Below are 23539 nucleotides of genomic sequence, written 5' to 3' on the forward strand. Positions count from 1 at the left end.
CTATGCTAAGAATTAAATGTATCATTTTTTCTAGGAGGGTCTAGCCATAGTTTTTAGGCTTTAGAGATAGAATGTACTTGATGTATCAAGAATATCATATGTCATCAAATGCATAGCCCCATTCCCCTGAAAATCAACCGAGAAAATCTATCTGAATGCAATTTTGTCTTCTTTTACCGATTTTAATTTGTCCTTTTTGCTTGTAAAAAGGTCTAAGACTTGACCTTGTGGATTTGGTCTGGCCAGTCAGATGGGGTATAATTATAGCCCTTTCAAGGCTGAATATGTAAGATTCCATGAACCAGTTCAGATGCCTTTGCAGATAAAATGCTCATGTTTTAGATTATTTAGATAGATGTTAAGATACCCTTTGTCAGTCTTCCAGCTTCTTTACTGCTGCATCCAGTCTAGAAACCATGATAATTTTTGAAACTGAGTAATCTATGTTAGATTTAATTCAGAGAAAATAAATTCTAAAAGATGAAAATGTAGTTAATATTAGTTAACAGTAATTTACTGTAATATGTGACTTTTTTTTAAAAGGTGGTTATTGATCTTTGAGCATATTTTATTTGAGAGTCACTTGTTATTTTAGGTTGCCAAAGTTGAAGACTTCCTTCTCAGCTGATGTTAAATATTGTTGGTTTAGCACAAACGTCACTATCAAGAAAACAGGAAGCTATGTAGGACACATGCCAAATGGTAAATTAATAGTCAGGGTAAAGGAAACTGACGTAGACTCAGGGAAGGAACCCTGGACTCATCTACTTTGTTCTTTTTAGGTGGCTTGAAGAATAGAAATGGTCTAAGTCATTATTTTTTTCCAGACAGTGTATCAAAAAACAGGGTTAGCCCTATTAAGCCAGAAAGAATATATTTTCTTATATTTTGCATTATTTTAAAACTGCTAATGTTTTAAAGGTTGTAGAATATCTTCATATAGCTTTGTTAATCTAGATTAGTTCTTGGCTGTCACTAAAAAGCCTATAAAGTATAGTAAAATTTGCCTACTTTTATTTTTTTATAGTGAAACCTTAACATTTGAGTCGGATCTCAGTAACTAGGAACAAATGATAATTTAAAGAGGAGTCAAATCCAAATTTACCTTTCATTATTTACTTAAACTTTATATATATAGTTTGCTAAATCAGTGAACAGTGTCATCATTGTAGAGTCTGTGTCAAGTTACGGGGGGCTTGTTCCCTCTCTTGTAGCCTTGATTTATGTGTTTACAGTTTTTATACTTATTACTGATAAATAATTTTCTTTTCATTAGAACGCATGTAATAGAACTTCTTTTTGGCAATATTTTGTCATCTTTTACTTCTCATTTTTCTAGGTACTTAATAAAATATCATTTGTTGAAAACATTTATAGTTCACCAATTATGAGATTTATAGTTATAAATCTTTATAAGCCACTAATTATGATTTATAATTCACTAATCATAAGATATTAATCTGATGGTTTTCTCTTAAATTATTGAGAGATGGTTTAATGTAGTAATTAAGAAAGTGGGCCATGGAGGCAGACATCCTGGGTTTGGATCCCAGCTCTGTCACTCACTAGCAAGTTACATAAGCATCTACGTGCCTCAGTGCCCTCATCTGTAAATTGGGGTAATAACAGCACCTATCTTGGAAGGTTGCTGTAAGTTTAAATAGTTTAATATAATTAAAGAGCTTAGAATAGTGCCTGCCACATTAGTAAATGCCCGACAAATATTAGCTGCTGTTATTTGTTTATTGTGGAAATATAATAATTATAGGTAATAACTTAAAGTTTAAATTCTGAGTTGTGTGTACAGTTCTTCAAAGGGAAAACCTTCCACAAATAATCACACTTTTGCCTTTCTTGGAGGTGAGGATGAGCACATCATCCCAATTCCAGTTAAATCAACAGTCTTTTTTTCTTGTTGTTGTTTTTAATCATGAAAAGAGTACAACACTAGGAGTCAAGATATATGCATTCATTCAGCAAACCTTTATCCTCCTACATAGTTGTTGGAGTGTTCACCTCCTGGATATCAGTGCTAGACACTGGAGATTTAAAGATGCCTAGGCCATGGAGACTAAGATATGGTTAGCGTGTCCTGTAAGTGGTTTCCAATCCCAGAGTGCCAGTGAGACCCTTTGCTCTTTGATGTCATCATCTGTAAAATGACAGTTCTTGAACTTAGTTTATGAGTGTTAGTAATATGCTAAAATTTCATCAGTGCTGGATACTTAGCACTGTGCTAGGTGCTATACTAGGACTTACTTAAAAAGGAGTATAACATAGCGCTTGACACTAGAATCTTATGATCTGGTTGGGAAAACAAGCCACAAGGAGAAAAATAGACAAATAATACTGGGAGTCATGTGATTAAATGTAAAATAAGAGACTCAACAGATGAGAATGTGCGAAGGTTCTTACGCTCAGCATTTTATTGCGTCAATGATTAACTGCCATTTCTGTAATAAAGTACTAGATTAAACTACCTCCTTTGATGCTATCAAGAATTCCCGCTTGATAATTCCCACTTTCATAATCTGTATAATGTGAGTTTAACTCCCTTTGTTCACTCACATGTTAAACTTTAAAATAGTGCATTCCTGGTATATTTAGGTAATTTGAAATTGGTAAAAGATATATTTTTACAGCATAGTTTTTATCCAAAATCCTTTCTGTACTCTAACACCAAGATATGTTTTTTGTTCTTGTTACTGCTATATTCCTAGCACTTAGTGCCAGACACACAGTGAACACTGATGAAATATAGTTGAGAGACAAATTTGAAATTATACTTAACCGTCAGCAATTTTAAAATATTTAAAAATAATTTTTAAATTAAAAGTGATTCAATTTGGAATACTGGCTTTTTCAACCTTGGCTCTAACTATGTGTGAGGACAAGTTGCCATTCTATAAATATAATTTTAATGTAGCCAGTAGCTTTTTCTTTACTAGCTTTTTCATACTTGTATAAGGAAATGGCTTTCTAGATGAGTGAATTTCCCTGCTTTATTAGTTATCTGTTACTGATTTATGACAGCAGCTTCATGGGAGACCTTAAGCTAGAACTGCCCAGCCAAGCCATTCCCAAATTCCGACCCAAAGAAACTGTGAAAGATAATAAATGTTAGAAATGTGAAGTTTTGTGATATCACAGTATAAAGACTTTCATATGCCTTACTTGAAGACTGTTCATCAGTATATCACCCTGAATTCTTTCCTTCTGAGAAGGAGTGAAGTACTTTAAAAGAAAAAGATAAAATCAGGCCATCATAGCCAAGTTTTCCTAGTCAAATAGAAAAGGGTTGTATTTAGCCTTAAAAGATTTTATAATTGTGTAAAACCGTGGCTCATGCCTATAATCCCAGACTTTGGGAGGCTGAGGCGGGAAGATTGCTTGAGGTCAGGAATTCGAGACCAGCCTGGGCAAAGCCCTGAGACCCTGTCTCAAAAAGAAAAAAAAAAATTTAGCTGAGTGTGGTGGTGCACCTGTAGTCCCAGCTACTTGGGAGACTGAGGTGGGAGGATTCCTTGAGCCCAGATGTTCAAGGCTGCAGTGAGTTATAATTGTGCCACTGCACTCCAGCCTGGGCTCTAGAGCAAGACACTGTCTCCTAAAAAAATTATAATAGTAAAATAGTTCATAGTTCATGTTCATTATAAAAATCAAAACAATGCAGAAAGCAGATGGGTGCAGTGGCTCATGCCTATAATCCCAGCTCTTTGGGAGGCTGAGGCAGGAGGATCACTTAATTCCAGGAGTTTGAGACCAGCCTGGGCAACATGGTGAAACCTTGCCTCTATTAAAAATACAAAAAATTAGCCAAGTGTGGTGGCATGTGCCTGTGGTCCCAGCTACCTGGGAGGCTGATGTGGGAGGATCGCCTGAGCTCGGGAGTTTGAAGCTTCAGTGAGCTGTGATTTCACCACTGTACTCCAGCTTGGGTGACAGCAAGACCGTGTTTCAAAAAATTTAAAAAAAAATGCAGAAAAGTAATTAGAAGAATCTTGTAAAAATCATTTCAAATCCGGCCACATTTTGGTTACTCTCCTTCTGAAATCTGTCTATGTGTGTAGATATACATACTTTCAAGTGTCCTTTTTCCATAAGTGGAATCATACTATTTCCATGTATTTTTAAAGCTTTTTAAACATTACCATGGGTTTAGAATTTACCAAAACTCCCCTTAGTGCTATATGACATTGGAAAGATCACTTACTTGAAGTGGGGATGGGAGTGGGTAATACTCCCCAAAAGCACAATCAAGTCAAAATGGTAATCTCCAGTTAGCTGCAGGCCTTCTGTTTTGCTGAGAGGAATATACAGATTTGGGGCCAAGAGTCAAACTCCTCAAGGCAACAGAGGAAAGCTCTTTTAAACCCATGCTCTTTTTTTTTTTAGGCAGAGTCTCGCTCTGTTGCCCAGGCTGGAGTGCAGAGGCATGATCTCAGCTCACTGCAACCTCTGTATCTTGGGCTCAAGCGATTCTCCTTCCTCAGCCTCCCTAGTAGCTGGGACTACAGGCATGCACACCACACCTGGCTAATTTTTGTATTTTTACTAAAGATGGGGTTTCACCATGTTGGCCCCGCTGGTCTTGAACTCCTGACCTCAGGTGATCTGCCTGCCTCAGCCTCCCAGAGTTGTTGGGATTACAGGCGTGAGCCACTGTGCCCTGCCCCTATGCTCTTTTTTGATTAACAGAAAAACGAGCACCCTCCTCTTGTGCAACTTGAATTTTCACAGTAAATTAAAGAACATGACCAAACCAATTTTAGACAGAGGTAACTTAAGAAGAGGAAACAGTTTAATCTTAGAAGAAACTTGAGGTACATGGCACTGGCTTGTTTCCTATACACCTATTTATCCTAGATAATATAAGGAAGATAGAATGTAACATATCTTAAATGATTTGCCCAACATTTCATTGGAAGACAAGCTGAGTGCCACTTAGGAGAAAGAGACCTACTAATGGCAGCTTTCCTCTGTTCCCTTGAGCACTTTGGCTCTTGGCCTCACATTTGTAGATTCCTCTCAGCAAAGCAGAATCCCTGCACCTAACTGGAGATTATAATTTTGACTTGAGTGTGCTTTTGGGAAGTATTACTCTTCATACCCCTGTCCCCCATTCCCACTTATGATATTGGAAAGTAAGTGATCTTTCCAATATCATAAAACACAAAGGTGAGGTTTTGTAAATTTTTCTTCTATCTTTTCTGTGATGTTTTAGTGGCCCTTATAGATTGGCTAGCCCACCCATTAGCCTGACTGTTTCCATAGAAGATTTGGTTATTATCTCACACTTTGAACTCTCCATTTCCTTTTCCCTAAACATGCTCCTTTCCTAGAAGTCTTATTCAATAAATCCATTTGTCTCATCTCCACTGCTGTTACCCTAGTCCAAGGATCCATCATCTTTCTTTCTTTTTTCAGATCTAAAGTGGTTATTATTATTATTATTATCCTACCTGCATTGGGTTTTCAGTCCCAGTGAAGACTGAGAAACCTGGTGAGACCAGTAAGCATCCCTGGGGGGTAAACACAAGACTCATCCACATTGCTCCCAGCTGCCCTGGCCTTCCTACAACCCTTAGAGGTTTGCAATCCCTGTTCCTTATAGCCAGCTATGTAGCGATGTCTTTCCTTAAATAGTAGAGACTTTGGGCAGCAGAGCTCCTCATCCCATTCCAGGTAGATAACCACACCCTGAAACACTCCTCTCCATGACTGAAGGTGAGAGGCTGAGGGGAATGGTCTCTGCCCTCTGTGACCCTGTTCGTTCCTTTCCAGCGCCATTCTTGCTCTCATGCGCCTGAGTGTGGGCCTTATCTGCCAGGTGGGCTACACTCTGCTCAACTCCCACATCACAGAACACTGTCTCCTCACTGAAGACTGTGAAGTGAATGTTTACTGAAGCAGCAGCATTATTACTGCACCAGAGCTAGAAAATGGACAGGCAAGGATCTCTGTAGATAGCAGAGAAGTAGGTGATACCATCTACAAATGCATGTTGGTTTTGCACCATCATCTTTGTTGACTAAAATGGTCTCCTCCCTGGTCTGGCTATGTTCATTTTATCTCTTGTGGTCTTTTTTTTTTTTTCTGTACAGTAGGCAAAGTGGTCTTTTAAAAACATAGATGTTTTTACTCTTCTGCTAAAAACCCTGCTTTGTGCTTGGCATAAAAGCTGAATGAATTGCAACCACTTGCAGGTCCAGTGTGATCTGTCCCTTCCTTTTGCCCCTCTCTCCCTCATTTACTGTGTCCTAATCTTTTGCCCTTCTCTCCCTCATTTACTGTGTCCTAATCTTTTGTTCTTCTCTCCCTCATTTACTGTGCTCCAGCCGCATTGCCCAGATATATCAAGATTTCTTCCCCAGATGTACCAAGCTTGTTCCTGCCTTCACACCTTTGCACCAGCTGTTTGCTCTGCCTGGAATGCTCTTTCCCAGAACTTGGCATGGTGGGCCCCTTTGTGTTATTCAGTTTTCGGATTTCACCTCCTCCAGAGGTCCTCTTTGATCTTCCAGTGTAAAGTAGCTCTTGCTTCAGTGCAGCACCCTGTTTTATTTTCCTCATAGCATTTAGCAATCCTAAACCATCTTTATGTGTTTGTCTCTTGTTTATCGTTTTCTTCTTCCCTCACTAGAATTTAAGTACCATGAGACGGTAGATCTTCTCTGTCTCGTCAGTCCTATAATCCTAACACCTAGAGCAATGCTTGATAAATCTTATCTAAATGAAAAAAATCAGTGAATGAAACACAGAGATAGAGAAATATTTTTTTTTTCATAAAACTATAATTTGTTAGTCAACACATAGGAATTGTACATATTTATGGGGTATATAATGATGTTTTGTTACATATAGTGTATAGTAATAAGATCAGGGTAATTAGCATATCCTCATCTCAAACATTTATCATTTATTTGTGATGGAAACAGTCAATATCCTCCTTCTAGCTATTTGAAACTATTTATTATTGTTAACTCTAGTCATCTACAGTGGTATAGTACACCAGAATGTATTCCTCTTATCTTGCTATAATTTTGTATCCTTTAACAAATCTCTTCCTATCCCCCTTAGAAATGTACCTTTTAATACACTGAGGTTGCTGGAACCAGCTGTTGATGTAGTAAGGGAGGAAGGTGACATGGCAGGGCACAAAAACACTTAACCAGTTCTGGTTAAAGTATATAATAAAAAGTGTGGCCCAATAATGAGTGTAACCATTCGGGAAAAAAACAATTTGTCATTGAAGAAGGAGTGAGTTATTCAAACAAACTGGAATCAGGTTAATCCTGACGATTTCCTGTACTTCGAATAACTTCAGTCTTTAAGCTGCATAGTTAGATAATTTGATCCCCAAGCCCCAAAAAGATCCTTGATTGTGAATGGTGTTTTTCATAAATTTAAAGCATTGCAGTTGAATGCAATAGAAAAGGAAAAATCTTAGTGTTGGTTATAGGGCTCATAACAGCATGCTCATAATGACATGATGCTCATTACCGTCATTAGATTGTACTTCATAATGCTAGAATTTATGTGTTTTCTGTAGTCTTTTAAAATAACTACTGTGTTGTGGGGTAGAAAAGATTACACTAAAAGGGAAATATGATGCCTCTAAAATGTACTCTGAGAAATTTTTTTTATATTGAAAGGAAAATGAGAAAGTATTCTTAAAACCTGTGAAATATAAAAATTTGTTACCATTCAATTACTGGTGCAACTTAGTTGTTTAGTTTATAAACTGGTATTTTTATTGACCCCTGAAGATAATGAGGAATAATCAACTTAGTGATTTATGTTAAACATACCCTTGTTAAAGTTTCTGTTTTTTTTTTTTTTTTCTTTTTTGATACAGAGTCTCACTCTGTCACCCAGGCTGGAGCAAAGTGGTGCAGTCTTGGCTCACTGCAGCCTCCACCTCCCAGGTTCAAACGATTCTCCTGCCTCAGCCTTCTGAGTAGCTGGGATTACAGGTGCCTGCCACCATGCCTGGTTATTTTTTTATTTTTTATTTTTTGAGATGGAGTCTTGCTCTGTGCCCAGGCTGGAGTGCAGTGGCAGGATCTCGGCTCACTGCAACCTCCGCCTCCCGTGTTCAAGCAATTCGCCTGAGTTAGCCTCCCAAGTGAGTAGCTGAGACTACAGGTGCGTGCCACCATGCCCAGCTAATTTTTGTATTTTTAGTGGAGACAGGGTTTCACCATGTTGGCCAGGATGGTCTCCATCTCGTGACCTCGTGATCCGCCTGCCTCAGCCTCCCAAAGGGCTGGGATTACAGATGTGAGCCACCGCGCCTGGCCTAATTTTTGAATTTTTAGTAAAGATGGGGTTTCACCATGTTGGCCAGGCTGGTCTTGAACTCCTGACCTCCAGTGATTTGCCTGCCTTGGCCTCCCAAAGTGCTGGGATTATAGGTGTGAGCCACTGCGCCTGGCCACTGTCTGGTTCTTTTTCACATTCAAATCGTTTTGGGGAAAAGTAATAGTAAATCTTTAACGTGGGGTCTGAGTTACTTAAAGCCAAAATTTTTTGAATTTATTTTTAAATGACTCTTGCCCTTCCAAGTTGCCATGTAGGGAAGTTGTACATTTATTTCAACTATGCATCCATCCGTTAAATTACTTTTATAGGTTCTTTTTTAGAATTGCTTCACAGCCAGTTTTGGAATTATGAAAGAAAATTAGCCTCCTTGCTTTCGTTTGTAAATTAAAACTCTCATCTTTTTAAAACAAAATGAAGACATATTACTTTCTCAATTGACTTCATATTAATATTTTATTAACTTATGAAGCCCATGCAGCTGTTATGCAGTTGAACTTATGACTTCTAAGATAAAAATTATCTTGTACAGCAGATCTGTGAAGAGCAAGAAACATTGTATAACTTTGTGAAATAATAGATTAAAAAAAAAAAAACCAGGCCAGGTGCAGTGGCTCATGCCTGTGATCCTGACACTTTGGGAGGCTAGGTGGGAGGAGGATCACTTGAGCCCAGGAGTTCGAGACCACCCTGGGTAACATAGTGAGACCTCCTCTCTTAAAAAAAAAAAAAAAAAAAAGCCAGGTGTGGTGGTGTGCACCTGTGGTCCCAGCTGCTTGGGAAGCTGAAGTGGGAGGAGCTTGAGCCTGAGAGATTGAGGCTGCAGTGAGCAGAGATTGCACCAATGCACTCCAGCCTGGGCTACAGAGTGAGACCTTGTCTTGAAAAACAAAACAAAAAGAAAATACCAAACTGTTGAGACCTGGATAACTACCCCCCACCTTTTAAATTTGCATTTTACTTGAAATTGAGTATGCATTGTGCTTTCCTGCAGATGAAAGTTATGGTGTGCCAAATCTAAAGGAAGCACTGAACCTTTGTGGAAGGAAAGAAAACCATCTGGTACCAGAAAAAGGCTAAAAGTGGGCTCTTTTTTGTACTAACAGAATGAAAGCTAAGAGTCCATATTTAAAATATGATCATAAAACTATTCTTATTTTACAGTTCTTGGCATAAGAATAGACATGTGTTTTGGATAATATACCTAATTTTAAAAGTCGAGATATGCCTCTTTGAGAAAAGTAGTTGAAGCACACTGTTGATGTTTGTCGTTAGAACACATGTAAGTTTTATTGTGAAATAAATGAATTATTTGTTTTAGGACGAGTCTTCATGTCTTGGCTTCCATGACTATTAAAGGCTTTTATTTTGTTCTGTAAGCCAGTGTTTTAATCTGTTTTGTATAAAGATCCTGTTTTGTTTAGTATCATAAACATGTGGGTTTTTAAAGTTTGTTTTTAAAAAATCTTTTCTTTCTTCTGTTTCTGCATTTTTTAAAGCTGCACATCATTGACTCCTGGGCCCAACTGTGACCGATTTAAACTGCACATACCATATGCTGGAGAGACATTAAAGTGTAAGTAAATGATGACTATTTTACTCAAAATGTAGGTTACAGTGTCAGCTATTGGACTTTGTGCTTTAGTTTTCATTTCCGGCTGTTAGTTGTTATCTCCTAAGATATTGTTCACTAGCATTTACCACTTTTCTTATCTGCCATTCAATTCTAGTTTGATTAAAAGTAAGGCAGTTGGCAGGGAATACGTTGTGGTTAAATAGGCATGCACAGAAATTCCTAATATTTAGGCATGCCCGGTAATTTTTATGTGTTTTTTTCTCTATAGGCGGCTTTTACGTAATACTCAATAAAGAGTCCACTGCTTTAGAATACCTGGCCATTTCGAAACAGTTTTTAGGTAGGAGTGGCTGCTGTCCATCACTGCTGCTAACCCCCCTGTGGAACCGCTGCGCCACGACTTGTCACTGATTTATCTCCTGTTGTTACCGAAGTGTAAGAGTCCTACCTCAAAAACTCTTGGCATGGCTTAGGCATATCAACATGTTATCTCCTTTATAGCAAGGATCAGAGATACAAACGGTCTACAAGGGCTAGATTGGTAATATAGTGAGGGAAACAGGCTAGGTGTGGCAAACTGGGACGCCCTGTCACTTAAGGGGAGTTACCTTTACTGATTTATTGAGAGAAGGTGGACGTCTGAAGTTTTACCTGAATTCTGTCAGTTTTAGATGTTGCTACTTTTTCAAAATTAAAAACATGGAGTTGGCCAATATTATGCAGGCTAAACTGAATGTGTCTGTGGGCTGGCTTGAGTTCCTGGACCATAAGTTATTGATCTTGGATGGATAGTATGGAAGATCTGTCATTGGACTTAGCCCATCAGCTACAGCAGCCCTCTAGACTGTATCAGCTTTTCTCTGTCACTATTACCAATACTGAACCTCTAGCCTAGTGTGGAAATCACAGTGGCTTTGGTTGGTTAGTGTTGGTAATCTCACCAGGAATTTTCTCTCTTGAACCTATTCTTGTGGTGAACAGCCTATTAAGGTTTTTCCTATTCCTAAAAAGAAAAATAAAGTACATGGATATTAAACATGGAACAGATGGGTAAACCGCTTTTTGACCATTGGACCAGTGTGTTTTACCATTACATGCCAGGAGGGGCCATGTCTCTGTATAGTATTTTGTATTCTTAGTACTATATTCTGTAGAATCACTTGATACTAATTTATCAAATGCAAGATTAAATGAGAAATGTTGGACATGCTGACTTGTCAGCCTTGCATTATTAGACCATTTTCTGGAAACCATTAAAATATAAAATAATTTTACCTGTCTGAAGTAGTAGGACAGATTCGACTACTTTTTTTTTGAAAAAATTATTAACTAAATTTAAAAGAAATGATCAAAGTAAATAATTCATGTGGTTAAAAACGTAAAAGTACTGGAATTTTTTGATACATGAAACCAGTAGTCTTCTCTCCCAGTCCAGTTTCCTGAGAGAATCACTTGCAGATTCTAAAAATTTTCAGTTTAGCTCTCTGGGGATGATCTCCATATCTTTAAATAATATACTTTTGCCTCCGTTTCTTGCCTTATCAGTTTTAGACATTGTTATCTTTTGACTTCCTGCGCTGATACATGAAGCATCAGCCTGTTTTCCCTATGCCCCTTAACTCTGTTTTCTTTTCCTTCTTAATGTAGTTATATCACCATTATTGGTTCCTGTGTTGGTTACCCTGTAGCTTAAAAATTTTTACTTACTTTTTTTAATGGATCACTTTAGACATTGTATTACACAGTTAATGAATAACCCCTAAGAATTCTTAGTAAGTACCTGGTACCTGGTACACAGTTAGCTTCGTTATTACTTAAGGACAATCTCTAAGCAAGAATGGTGAATACTTAGGGTAGTATATTCTTTAGTTTTACATTAACCATAGATACTGTGTCTTTTGCCTCTGCATTTTATGAGATGAATATATTAGCCCCTGCCCTTCCTTCAATTCCTCTTCCTTCACCTCCCAGCTTTTGTCTTTGGTTATTTTCCTTTTGCATTTTCAAGATTGTTAACTTACTGTCCGTTCTAAATCTGTAGTTGTCTTCTGTGCCTTGCCTATAAATTGCTTGAACGATTGCTCTGGAGGCCTGTTCCTGCATAATTATCACTGTGAGATTTGCCTTTATTACTTTTTTGAATTTGACCTTGTTTTGTAGAATCTATGTATCGTAGATTCTATGTTTTGTAGAATGATTTCTTGATAAACAGGTTACCTACTTATCTTGCTGGCACCCATTCTCAAATAACTTGCTCAGATTCTATTCCTCTTTCTACCCTTCTGTTTTCCTTTAGCCCATCCGATAATTTTTTATTACTACAGTCACAATTAGGTATCTTAATTTCTAGGAACTCTTTCTTGCACTGTTTCTCATTCTCAGCATCTTGTTCTTATTTTATGAATATAGGTCCTTTAAATTCCTTCAAAGAATAAAATTTAGAGATTCAAAAAAAATGTTTTCTTCTGTTATCTGAATTATTTTAATTTTCCCTAGGGATTATATTTTTGTTTATCATATTTTTTCCCTCTTTTATGCTATAGTTTTTCTTCAAATAAAAGGTATTCATTTCTGTTTAAGATAGACAATAAAATAGTGATTGGGACTTCTGAGTAGGTGAGCAAGGCTTATGGAATGTGTGGATGAATGATGGGCCAGATGTGAGTCAACTGCTCTAGCTCTCCTCAAATAGTTTGTTCTATTTCTTCATTGAATACCTGGGCATACATACCTGATCACCCTGTCATTTTCAGGGGGTACGTATATAGACTATTCCGTGAGGAGCTTTTGCTTACTCTTCCTGTTCTTAGCCCTGTGTCTCATTCTTGCCTCCCCTTACACTGGATAACTAGAAACTTTTATGGGTTTACTAGGACAGATGGCTTCCTCCTCATCAGTAGCCTCTTCCTCACATTATTACAGGTCAAAGCTTTCCTCTGCCCTATCTTGTCAAGTACTACACTTCCATCTGCATTCTGTCTCTAGCAATTTGCTAAACTTTCTCATCTACTGATTAACTACTCTCCTCCCTTCCTCTTCATCTTCCTGTTGTTTGGGATTTTATCTTTCTGTATTCACTATCATTTAACGGGATTGGAGGGGGTCTTAGAGAAGAAATGAGTGTGTGTGGTCAGTCCACAGTCTTGAGACAAAAATAATGTGACTTCACAGGCATCTTTCTAGTAGCATGGGTTTATGTTAGGAAGCATTTGCTGTTACCCTATATCCTCTCATTACTATAAGCTCTTCATGGGAAACCTTTAATAACATTTGTGATTAGTGTATTAGGACTGTCACTCATCATATAACATAATTATATTCTAGCAAATTATTGTTGGATATCGTCATTATACATTGGGGACTTAATTTAGCCCACAGTATGCTCTATAATAAATAAATAATAAGTGAACATTGTATAATGGCAATTCTTATGCTAAAATGAGTCAAGATTCTAGTGTTAAGCAGCTCACAGCCAAATAAAAGGAAAAGGTAATTGATCATGGAAACTATATTTATAAAAGTTCATAGAATTAGAAAGATGAGTTTTTTTTTTAAAAAACACATATATATGTATGTATATATGTATATATATAACATACACATATATATACACACACATATGTGATCTTGGCTCACTGCAACCTCCACCTCCCGGGTTCAAGCAATTCTCCTGCCTCAGCCTCCGGAGTAGTTGGAACTACAGGTGCCCACCACCACGCCCGGATAATTTTTGTATTTTAGAGACAGGGTTTCACCATGTTGGCCAGGATGGTCTCGATCTCTTGACCTCATCATCTGCCTGCTTCAGCCTCCCAAAATGCTGGGATTACAGGCGTGAGCCACTATGCCTGGCTTGTTTTTTTTTTTTTTTTTTTTTTTGAGACAGTCTTGCTATGTTGCCCAGGCTGGACTTGAACTCCTGGGCTCAAGTGTTCTTCCTGCGTCAGCCTAAGTAGCTGAGACTACAGGCACACACCACCATGCCCAGATCTTTTGTCCTTTTAATAATACAGTTATCCCTCAATATCCATGGGGGATTGGTTCCAAGATGTCCTGTGCAAGTCCCTGATATAAAAGGGCATAGTATTCACATATAACCTATGCCCATCTTCCTGTGTACAGGCAAACCTCATTTTATTGTGCTTCAACAAGGATTTTTTTTTTTCTTTGAAATTGATTGATGGTTTGTGGCAATCCTGTGTTGAGCAAGTTTATCAGGGCCATTTCCCCAAAGCGTGTGCTTATTTCATGCCTTTGTGTCACATTTTGGTAATTTTTGTACCATTTCAAACTTTTTAATTATTATTTTTTTAAACTTAAAAATTTTTGCTTTCTAAATCATGAAGCGTTTCCACATACTTTTTCATTATTATTCTGTTATGGTGATCTGTGATTGTTGACTCTTGAATGTTACTATTGTCATTGTGTTGAGATGCCATAACATACATACCCATATAAGATAGTGAATTTAATCAATAAATGTGTATGTTCTGATTGCTGTACTGATCGTCCTTTTTCCTTTCTCCCTCTTCTTGGGCCTCCTTATTCCCTGAGACACAGCAGTATTGAAATTAGGCCAGTTAGTAACCTTGCAGTGTCCTCTAAGTGTTCAAGTGAAGAGTCCCACACCTCTCACTTTAAATCAAAAGCTAGAAATGATGAAGTTTAGTGAGGAAGGCATGTTGAAAGCTGAGACAGGCTGAAAGCTAGGCCTCTTGGCCAAACAGTTAACCACGTTGTGAATGCAAAGAAAAATTTCTTGAAGGAAATTAGAAGTGCTACTCTAGTAAACACATGAATTATAAGACTGTGAAAAAATTATTGCTGATATGGAGAAGGTTTTGTTTGAATGAAAGATCAAACCAGCCACAAGATTCCCTTAAGCCAAAGCCTAATCAAGAACAAGTCCTAATTCTCTTCAATTCTAAGATTGAGAGAAGTGAAGAAGTTGCAGAAGAAAATTTGAAGCTAGCAGAAGTTGGTTCATGAGATTTAAGAAAAGAGGCCATTTCTATCACACAGAAGTGCAAGGTGAAGCAGCAAGTGCTCATACAGAAGATGCAGTAAGTAATTCAGATCTAGCTAAGATCATTGATGAAGTGCTACACTTAGCAACAGATTTTTAGTGTAGATGGAACAGGCTTATGTTGGAAGAAGATGCCGTCTAGGACTGTCATAGTTAAGAAGGCAATGCCTGGCCTCAAAGGATAGACTGACTTTCTGATTAGGGACAAAGGCAGCTAGTGACTAATTTGAAGCCAAGGATCATTTATCATTCTGAAAATCCTAAGGCCCATAAGAATTATGCTAAATCTAACTCCGCCTGTGTTCTACAGTAGAATAACAATCATCTGTTTACAGCACGGTTTACTGAAAGCCACTGTTGAGAACTACTGCTCAGAAAAAATGATTCCTTTCAAAATATTATTGCTCATTGACAGTGCACTTTGTCACTTGAGATGTGTTGGAAATAGCAAGAGAACTAGAATTAGAAGTGGATCCTGAGAATGTGACTGAATTGCTACAATGCCATGGTAAAACTTTTACTGATGAAGAAGGTTGCTTCTTGCAGATAAGCAAAGAAAGTAGTTTCTTGAGATCGAATCTACTTCTGGTTAAGATGCTATGAACATTGTTGAAATGACAACAAAGGCTTTAGAATATTTCATAAACTTAGTTGATAAAGCTTCGCCAGGGTTTGAGAGGATTGACTCCAGTTTTGAAAGAAGTTCTACTGTTGAGTACAATTCTATCGGACAGTATCTTGTGCTATAGAGAAATTTTTCCTGAAGGGAAAAGTCGATTAATGTGGCAGACTTCATTGTTGTCTTATTTTAAGAAATTGCCATAGCCATGCCGCCCTTCAGCAACTACCACTGTAATCAGTCAGGAGCCATCAGCATCAAGGCAGGACCCTGCAGTAGCAAAGAGATTGTGACTTGGTGGAGGCTGACATCATTGTTAGCATTTTTTAGCAATTCAGTATTTTATTCTTATTTGTATTTTTATTTTTTGGTATTTTTGTTTTGAGACAGGGTCTTGCTCTGTCTCCCAGGCTGAAGTGCAGTGGTGCGATCTTAGCTCACTACAACTTCTGTTTCCCAGGTTCAGGCGATTCTTCTGCCTCAGCCTCCTAAGTAGCTGGGATTACAGGTGCACACCACCATGACCCAGTTAATTTTTATATTTTTAGTAGAGACGGGGCTTCACCATATTAGCCAGGCTGGTCTTGAACTCCTGACCTCAGGTGATCCACCCACCTTCGCCTCCCAAAGTGCTGGGATTACAGGAGTGAGCCACCATGTCCGGCCGCAATACAGTATTTTAAAATCAGGTATTATCCCATCTCACACCAGTTAGAATGGCAATGATTAAAAAGTCAGGAAACAACAGGTGCTGGAGAGGATGTGGAGAAATAGGAACAGTTTTACACTGTTGGTGGGACTGTAAACTAGTTCAACCATTGTGGAAGACAGTGTGGCGATTCCCCAGGGATCTAGAACTAGAAATACCATTTGACCCAGCCATCCCATTACTGGATATATACCCAAAGGACTATAAATCATGCTGCTATAAAGACACATGCACACGTATGTTTATTGCGGCACTATTCACCATAGCAAAGACTTGGAACCAACCCAAATGTCCAACAATGATAGATTGGATTAAGAAAATGTGGCACATATACACCATGGAATACTATGCAGCCACAAGAAATGATGAGTTCATGTCCTTTGTAGGGACATGGATGAAACTGGAAATCATCATTCTCAGTAAACTATCGCAAGGACAAAAAGCCAAACACCGCATGTTCTCACTCATAGGTGGGAATTGAACAATGAGAACACATGGACACAGGAAGGGGAACATCACACTCTGGGGACTGTTGTGGGGTAGGGGCAGGGGGGAGGGATAGCATTAGGAGATATACGTAATGCTAAATGACGAGTTAATGGGTGCAGCACACCAGCATGGCACATGTATACATATGTAACTAACCTGCACATTGTGTACATGTACCCTGAAACTTAAAGTATAATAATAATAACAAATAAATTAAAAAAAATAAAATCAGGTATTATCATTTTATTTTAGACATAATGCTATTATACACTTAATAGACTATAGTATAGTAAATATAACTCTTATATGCACTGGGAAACCAAAAAGTTTATATGACTTTGCTTTATTGTGATACTCGCTTTATTGCATTGGTCTGGAACCAAACCCAGAATGTCTTTGCCTTATGTTTGTACTTTAAATCATCTTTAGATTCCTTATAATGCCTAATACAATGTAAATTCTACGTAGATAGCTGTGATATGGTATTGTTCAGGGAATAATGACAAAAGTCTGTAAATGTTCAGTTCAGATGCAGTTTGTTTTTTGAATTTTTGTTTTTAGAGACAGGATTTCACCATGTTGGCCAGGCTGGTCTCAAACTCCTGACCTCGAGATCTGCCTGCCTTGGCCTCCCAAAGTGCTGGGATTACAGGCATGAGCCACCGCACCCAGCCTGTTTTTTGAATATTTTTGATCAACTGGTTTGCTGAACGCATGGATGTGGAACCCACGGATAGAGAGCTGACTGTAGCCATTGTGTAACTGGAGTGAGATGATATCTCATTGTGGTTTTGATTTGCATTTCCTTGATAATTAGTGATGTTGAACATTTTTTCATATACTGGTTGACCATTTATATGTCTTTTGAAAAGTGTCTCTTTAGGTCTTTTACTCATTTTTAATTGGATTATTTTCTTCTATTTAGTGGCTTGAATTCTTTATATATTCCACATATTAACCTCTTGTTAGATGTATAATTTGCAAATATTTTCTCCCATTCTGTAGGTTGTCTCTGCAGTCTGTTGATTGTTTCCTTTGATGTGCAGAAGCTTCTTAGTTTGATGTAATCTATATATTTTTGCTTTTGCTTTCTGTATTTTTGAGAGCTTTTCCAAAAAATTCTTACTGAGACCAATTGTGACGAGGCATTTCTCCTATGTTTTCTTCTAGTAGTTTCATAGTTTCCGATCTTACGTTTAACTCTTTAATCCTTTTTGAGTTGATTTTTGTATATGATGAAAGGTAAGGGCTAGTGTTACTCCTCTTCATGTGGATATGCAGTTTTCCCAACACCATTTATTGAAGAGACTGTCCTTTCTCCAATGTGTGTTCTTGGCACCTTTGTCAAAAATCAGTTAGCTGTAGAAGCGTGGTTTTATTTCTGGGCTTTCCATTAATTTTAGCAACCTTAAATCTATTGTATACAAGATCAGTAAGGTCATAGTGTTTAATTACCACAATATTTGTGATAGAATTCAGCCTCCTACAATCAACATAATATTCGTCTTTAGATGAACAAACACTTCTCAGCAACACACATTTTAACAAATGTAGTATTCTAATACAAACACACTTAATTGAAAGGTTATATAGTTTTACAGACTCTTGGAAGATAACTATCACAGCAAACAGAAAAGGTCTTTGCCTTTTTTTTTTTTGAGACAGAATCTCGCTCTGTCCCCCAGGCTAGAATGCAGTGGCACGGTCTCGGCTCACTGCAACCTCCGCCTCCTGGGTTCAAGCGATTCTCCTGCCTCAGCCTCCTGAGTAGCTGGGACTACAGGCACGTGTCACAACACCCAGCTAATTTTTGTATTTTTAGTAGAGACAGGGTTTCACCATATTGGCCAGGCTGGTCTCGAACTCCTGACCTTGTGATCCGCCCGCCTCAGCCTCCCAAAGTGCTGAGATTACAGACGTGAGCCACTGTGCTCGGCCAGCTCTTTGCCTTTTTAAAGAAACAGACCTCTAAGGAAACCTAATTATACTGTAAGAGGAAAATGAGTAAGTATAGATTTAAATTATATTCTACGGTAAATAATAGATAAATATTCTCTAACCTTCTCCTTTTTGTTTCCAAGCAAAGGGTAATGGCTAACTCAGTGCTTTGCAGTCTTAACATTTTTATATAAACAATTTTTTAAATCTAAAGTTTCTCATTAAATCTCATTGAAAACTTGTGGTGTATGGTTTAAACTATAGTTATTTATTTATTTATTTGAGACCAAGTCTTGCTCTAGCACCAGGCTGGAGTGCAATGTAGCAATCTCGGCTCACTTCAACCTCCACCTCCTGGGTTCAAGTGTTTCTCCTGTCTCAGCCTCCTGAGTAGCTGGGACTACAGGCACTGGCCACCATGCCCAGCTAATTTTTGTATTTTTAGTAGAGACAGGGTTTCACCATGTTGGCTAGGATGGTCTCGATGTCTTGACCTAGTGATCCGCCCACCTCGGCCTCCCAAAGTGCTAGGATTACAGGCATGAGCCACCGCGCTTGGCCAGTTTAAACTATAGTTCTAACCAACGCTGAATCAAAGTATTCAGTAATTTACTAGAACTTACAGTAATTTTATTTCATAACTTAAGCTCAATAAAGTTAGAGATGGAGACTGTTGTGTTTATTAAATTAAATCTTTAGTCTCTAGCACAGTAAAGATATTCAATTAAATATTTGTTGAAGAAATAGAATGAATGCATGCATGCATAAATTAATGAATCTTTAGTGTTCAGATTTTCGTTGGTTGAAGTATGTGTTATAAAGAATGTGGCATTCTGTTGTATCAGCCTTTTGCCAACAGAAATTTGATCTTTAGAAGTTATTTATTATACAAGGAATTTGTAATTGGAACATTGCTCTTAACAATTCAGAAAACAGGAAGAATGTACAGTCATTTGCAGATTTGGAGTCTGAATCAATTTTATCTTTATATATTTTACTCTGCCCTCTGCAAGCAGATTAATGAAAATAGCATGTAACTAAACTTATTTTTCAAAATATTTTATGTATTGGAAAATAGTACTTCTGTAAATCTGTTTCATTGTAAGTAAAGGAAACTGCAGTTAATGAGAATGAGAATGAGAGATGAGAGAGGGCGTATTTCTACTCACTAATTGATTCTTACAGAATTATCCCCATTCAAAGTTAAATAATTGAAATAAAAAAGATCAGAAGATTATAGTACATTAGGAATGATATTATTGTTTCCTCAGGTCTTTTACTGTGAAGAGACAATTGTTGGCCAGTAAAAGAGTTGCCAATTTGTATAAGATTCTATTGAAAAATGTTAAAGGATATCCTAAGTAAAGAGAAGTCCTTGAATCTCACAATTGCAGAAGACACAACTCCTCCTGCAACATATTCTATTACTTAAATGATATTGGAAATGTGAATCTTCAGTGATCAAGATTGATTTAAATGAAATACACGTTAAGGTCTAGGATGGTGCAACTGAAGTGGCTGAAAATTTTCCAGCTATAGCAGCTATTCACATAAAAAGAGCCATGAGTGTCATATAAACACCTGTTTGTAAATATAGCCATCCTAGTCATACTCTGTAGCAATTAACTCTAGAAGAAATTATTCCATTTGTGTTTTTGTGTACTGTATTTAAATAGGGCAAAGAGTGAGCCTGTTTGCTCATACTTTATTCCCAATCTCTAGTTGAGTATCTGGCATTTAGAGAGGTTTAATAAATGTTTGTGGAAAGAATGAGCCGTGTTCATTCTTTGGATCTGACAACAATGAGGTTTGATAGGAAGTGACAGAACTTAATTCTGCCAGTTCTTTGAATAATGCTGTTTATGCAGCTTTGAAGAGAGATTATTGAAATATTGTAAGTTATATTGAGCAAGTCTGTGGCTAGTAAATCAAACAGTTTGCTAACATTGGTTTTACATTTGAAATTATCTGTGGTTTAAACAATTTATTTTAATCAGGGGCTGTTTTATTATAAGAAACCCACTGGAACTAACATAAATTGAAGAATTTATTTGTCTTTGTAAGGAATCAAGTAAAGCCTATGATGCCCAAGGGCAGAAAGGACAGCCAGGTTCTCAGGGACTAGAACCGGGAACTGGAAGGCTGGTAGACATAGTCGCCAGTCAGCATCTGTGTCCATGTTTGTGTCTTTCTCCTGCAACATATTCTATTGTCACTGTATTCTAACCGCCCCTCCACCCCAACCAACCCCCGACTTCTGTTTCTCCCCACATTGGGTAGAAATGACTTCCTGAGCCCCTACATGAGGACTCAATTCAAGGCCACCAGAGAGGTTGTCATTGAGTTTAAATTCCTGGGAGAGAGGATCTGATTGGCAGCTTGGGCCAAGTGACCACTTGTGATCAAGTTATATGGCCAGGATTTCTGGGTCATGTATTATCAACCTGATTAGTAGAGGTTAGTTTTAACACAAGATAAGATAAGCATAGCCTGGCAGATACCCAGAAAGGTATCTATTACCCTGTTTCAGGAATTCTTTCTAAAGAATTTCCAAATGAAAATGTAGACATTTTTTTGTCTTTAACAATAGAGCAGCCAGGCGCGGTGGCTCACGCCTGTAATCCCAGAACTTTGGGAGGTCGAGGCGGGCAGATCACAAGGTCAGGAGTTGCCTGGCCAACATAGTGAAACCCTGCCTCTACTAAAAATACAAAAGATTAGCTGGGTGTGGTGGCGGGTGCCTGTAATCCTAGCTTCTCAGGAGGCTCAGTCAGGAGAATCACTTGAACCTGGGAGGCGGAGGTTGCAGCTAGCCGAGATCGCGGCACTGCACACCAGCCTGGGTGACAGTGCAAGACTCCGTCTCAAAAAAAAAAAAAGAGCAATATAGTTGTTTATCATCTGAGAGGAATGATGGATATTTCAAAGCTGTTTGTGACAGAGTGAAGAAGTCATGTCAAGAAATACCCAAAGGTTTTGAAGTTGATACACTTTTCCTTTCAGAGGAAAAAGTCAGAAAAAAATCAATTGTGATACGAATAATATATTATCTTCTATGTCCTCAGAGAAGCAGTGTAAAATTACTGTTCATTTTTAAGGATTCCATACTATATCACTAAATTTAAATATATATTTTTTGAGAATGATTAAAACAAAATGAGAACAGTTTCAGAACTGTTACTTAAATGGAATGTACCATTTAATTAAATAGTGGCCAAACAGATGCATAGATTTTTACAGAAACATTGCACATAATGTTCTGGAGCTTCTACTTTAATGAATCTACCTGAAATTCAACTTCATTTTTGATCTATGTCTCCTTGAGTGCTTTGGCTGCTGCTTTTGTGTGTGTGTGTGCTTGTGTGTGTTTTAACACAGTGCTTCCCCATCTCCGATCTATTACATATTAATTTGTTCTAGCTAATCAGCTTAATAAACTGAGAATGCTGCTCATTACTTATGTAGCACAATGCAGAGACACTGTGGGGCTTGGCATGGATGACTGTCAAACAGAAACTGATAACCAAACTGATGGCGCCTGGAGGACCCAGTGGTGTTGCGAAGTTTGTTGTTGCATCAGCTGAAATAGATATTGAGACTTTATTGATTTATCTCATCTATAAGAATTTTGCACTTTCTTTGCTTTGTTATACCGTGCTATTATTTTATTTTATTTTATTTATTTTTTTGAGACAGGGTCTCGCCATGTCACCCAGCCTGGAGCACAGTGGCGCGATCACAACTCACAGCAACCTCTGCCTCCCTGGCTCAAGCAATCCCTCCACCTCAGCCTCCCAGATATCTGGTACTACAGGTGCACACCACCACACCCGCTAATTTTTGCATTTTTTTTTTTTTTTGTAGGGATGGGTTTATGCCACGTTACCCAGGCTGATCTGAACTCCTGGGCTCAAGCAGTCCATCTGCCTCAGCCTCCTGAAGTGCTGGGATTACAGGCATGAGCCATTGCACCCGGCCTTGGTTTCTTAATGTAATAGGCTGTTCTTTAATTGTTTCATAGCCTGCCTACCAACCCCATCTAAGTGAAATATTGTTGGCAGGGCACCTGATAATAACTGTTTTACTTATTCTTTCTTAAAAAATTTATTTATTTATTTATTTATTTATTTATTTATTTATTAAGACAGGGTCTTGCTTTGTGGCCCAGCCTGGAGTGCATTATAGCTCACTGCAGCTCTGACCTCACTGGCTCAAGTGATCCTCCACCCTCAGCCTCCCGAGTAGCTGGGACTATAGGTGTGCATCACCATTTTTTTGTAGAGACGGGGTTTTGGTTTCACTTCATTGCCCAGGTGATCTTGAACTTCTGGGCTCAAGCTATCCTTCCACTGTGGCCTCCCAAAGTGTTGGGATTGCAGGCGTGAGCCACTGCACCTTGCCCATACCATACATTTTGAACCTTGGCCGCTAGGTCCAAAAGCTGGCCGTTGTGACTATAGCTGTTGGCATTTTTGTTGGGATGACAATGTTATTTTATTTAAAATTTCTTGTACTATTTAAAATAATCTGTTTGGAAAATGTTAACCAAGTAATCTTTCTGCTTCCACTTCCCCTTCAGTATTTTAGTGGACTGAATCTCTCAGCCTGGCATTCAAGGCCAGTCACAGTGTGACATTCCAGCCTCCCAGTTAGAGCTCAGCTAACAACAAGCCAAGTCAGAAAGCTGCTCTGCAAGACTGATTTGCCCATTATACTTCCCAAATACCCTGCCTTCCTTTCCTGCTTCTGCTTTTGCCACACTGTTTTGGCTTTAGCAGGACAAACCAAGGAATAATAAAATAGCCTGTCTTGTGATGTATTTGGTTTTTCATTCGCGCTCACAAACCTGCCACTCTAATG

General features: G+C 38.1%; 1 protein-coding gene and 1 long non-coding RNA gene across 16 annotated transcripts in view; both read left to right on the forward strand.

Annotated features, from left to right (window-relative positions):
* Positions 1 to 23539, forward strand: part of BABAM2 (BRISC and BRCA1 A complex member 2) — a 450193-nt gene that overhangs the window by 31302 nt on the left and 395352 nt on the right. For all 14 annotated transcript variants that reach the window (NR_137438.2, NR_137440.2, NR_137439.2 and 11 more), the window contains one exon: positions 9822 to 9898. Coding sequence is in view for 10 of the 14 variants with exons in the window: in NM_001329112.1 (NP_001316041.1) it covers positions 9822 to 9898 (77 nt within the window). In the remaining 4 variants the exon portion in view is untranslated. The remainder of the gene's footprint in view (positions 1 to 9821; positions 9899 to 23539) is intronic.
* LOC105374369 (uncharacterized) lies at positions 17404 to 23494 on the forward strand. 2 transcript variants are annotated; one of them, XR_939870.3, is made up of 2 exons: positions 17404 to 22484; positions 23259 to 23494. It is a non-coding gene; the product is annotated as an uncharacterized LOC105374369 (long non-coding RNA). The 2 variants fall into 2 exon arrangements; XR_939869.2 differs by having other exon boundaries at positions 22449 to 22493.

Source organism: Homo sapiens, chromosome 2, assembly GCF_000001405.40.
Source record: "Homo sapiens chromosome 2, GRCh38.p14 Primary Assembly".
NCBI lineage: Eukaryota > Metazoa > Chordata > Mammalia > Primates > Hominidae > Homo > Homo sapiens.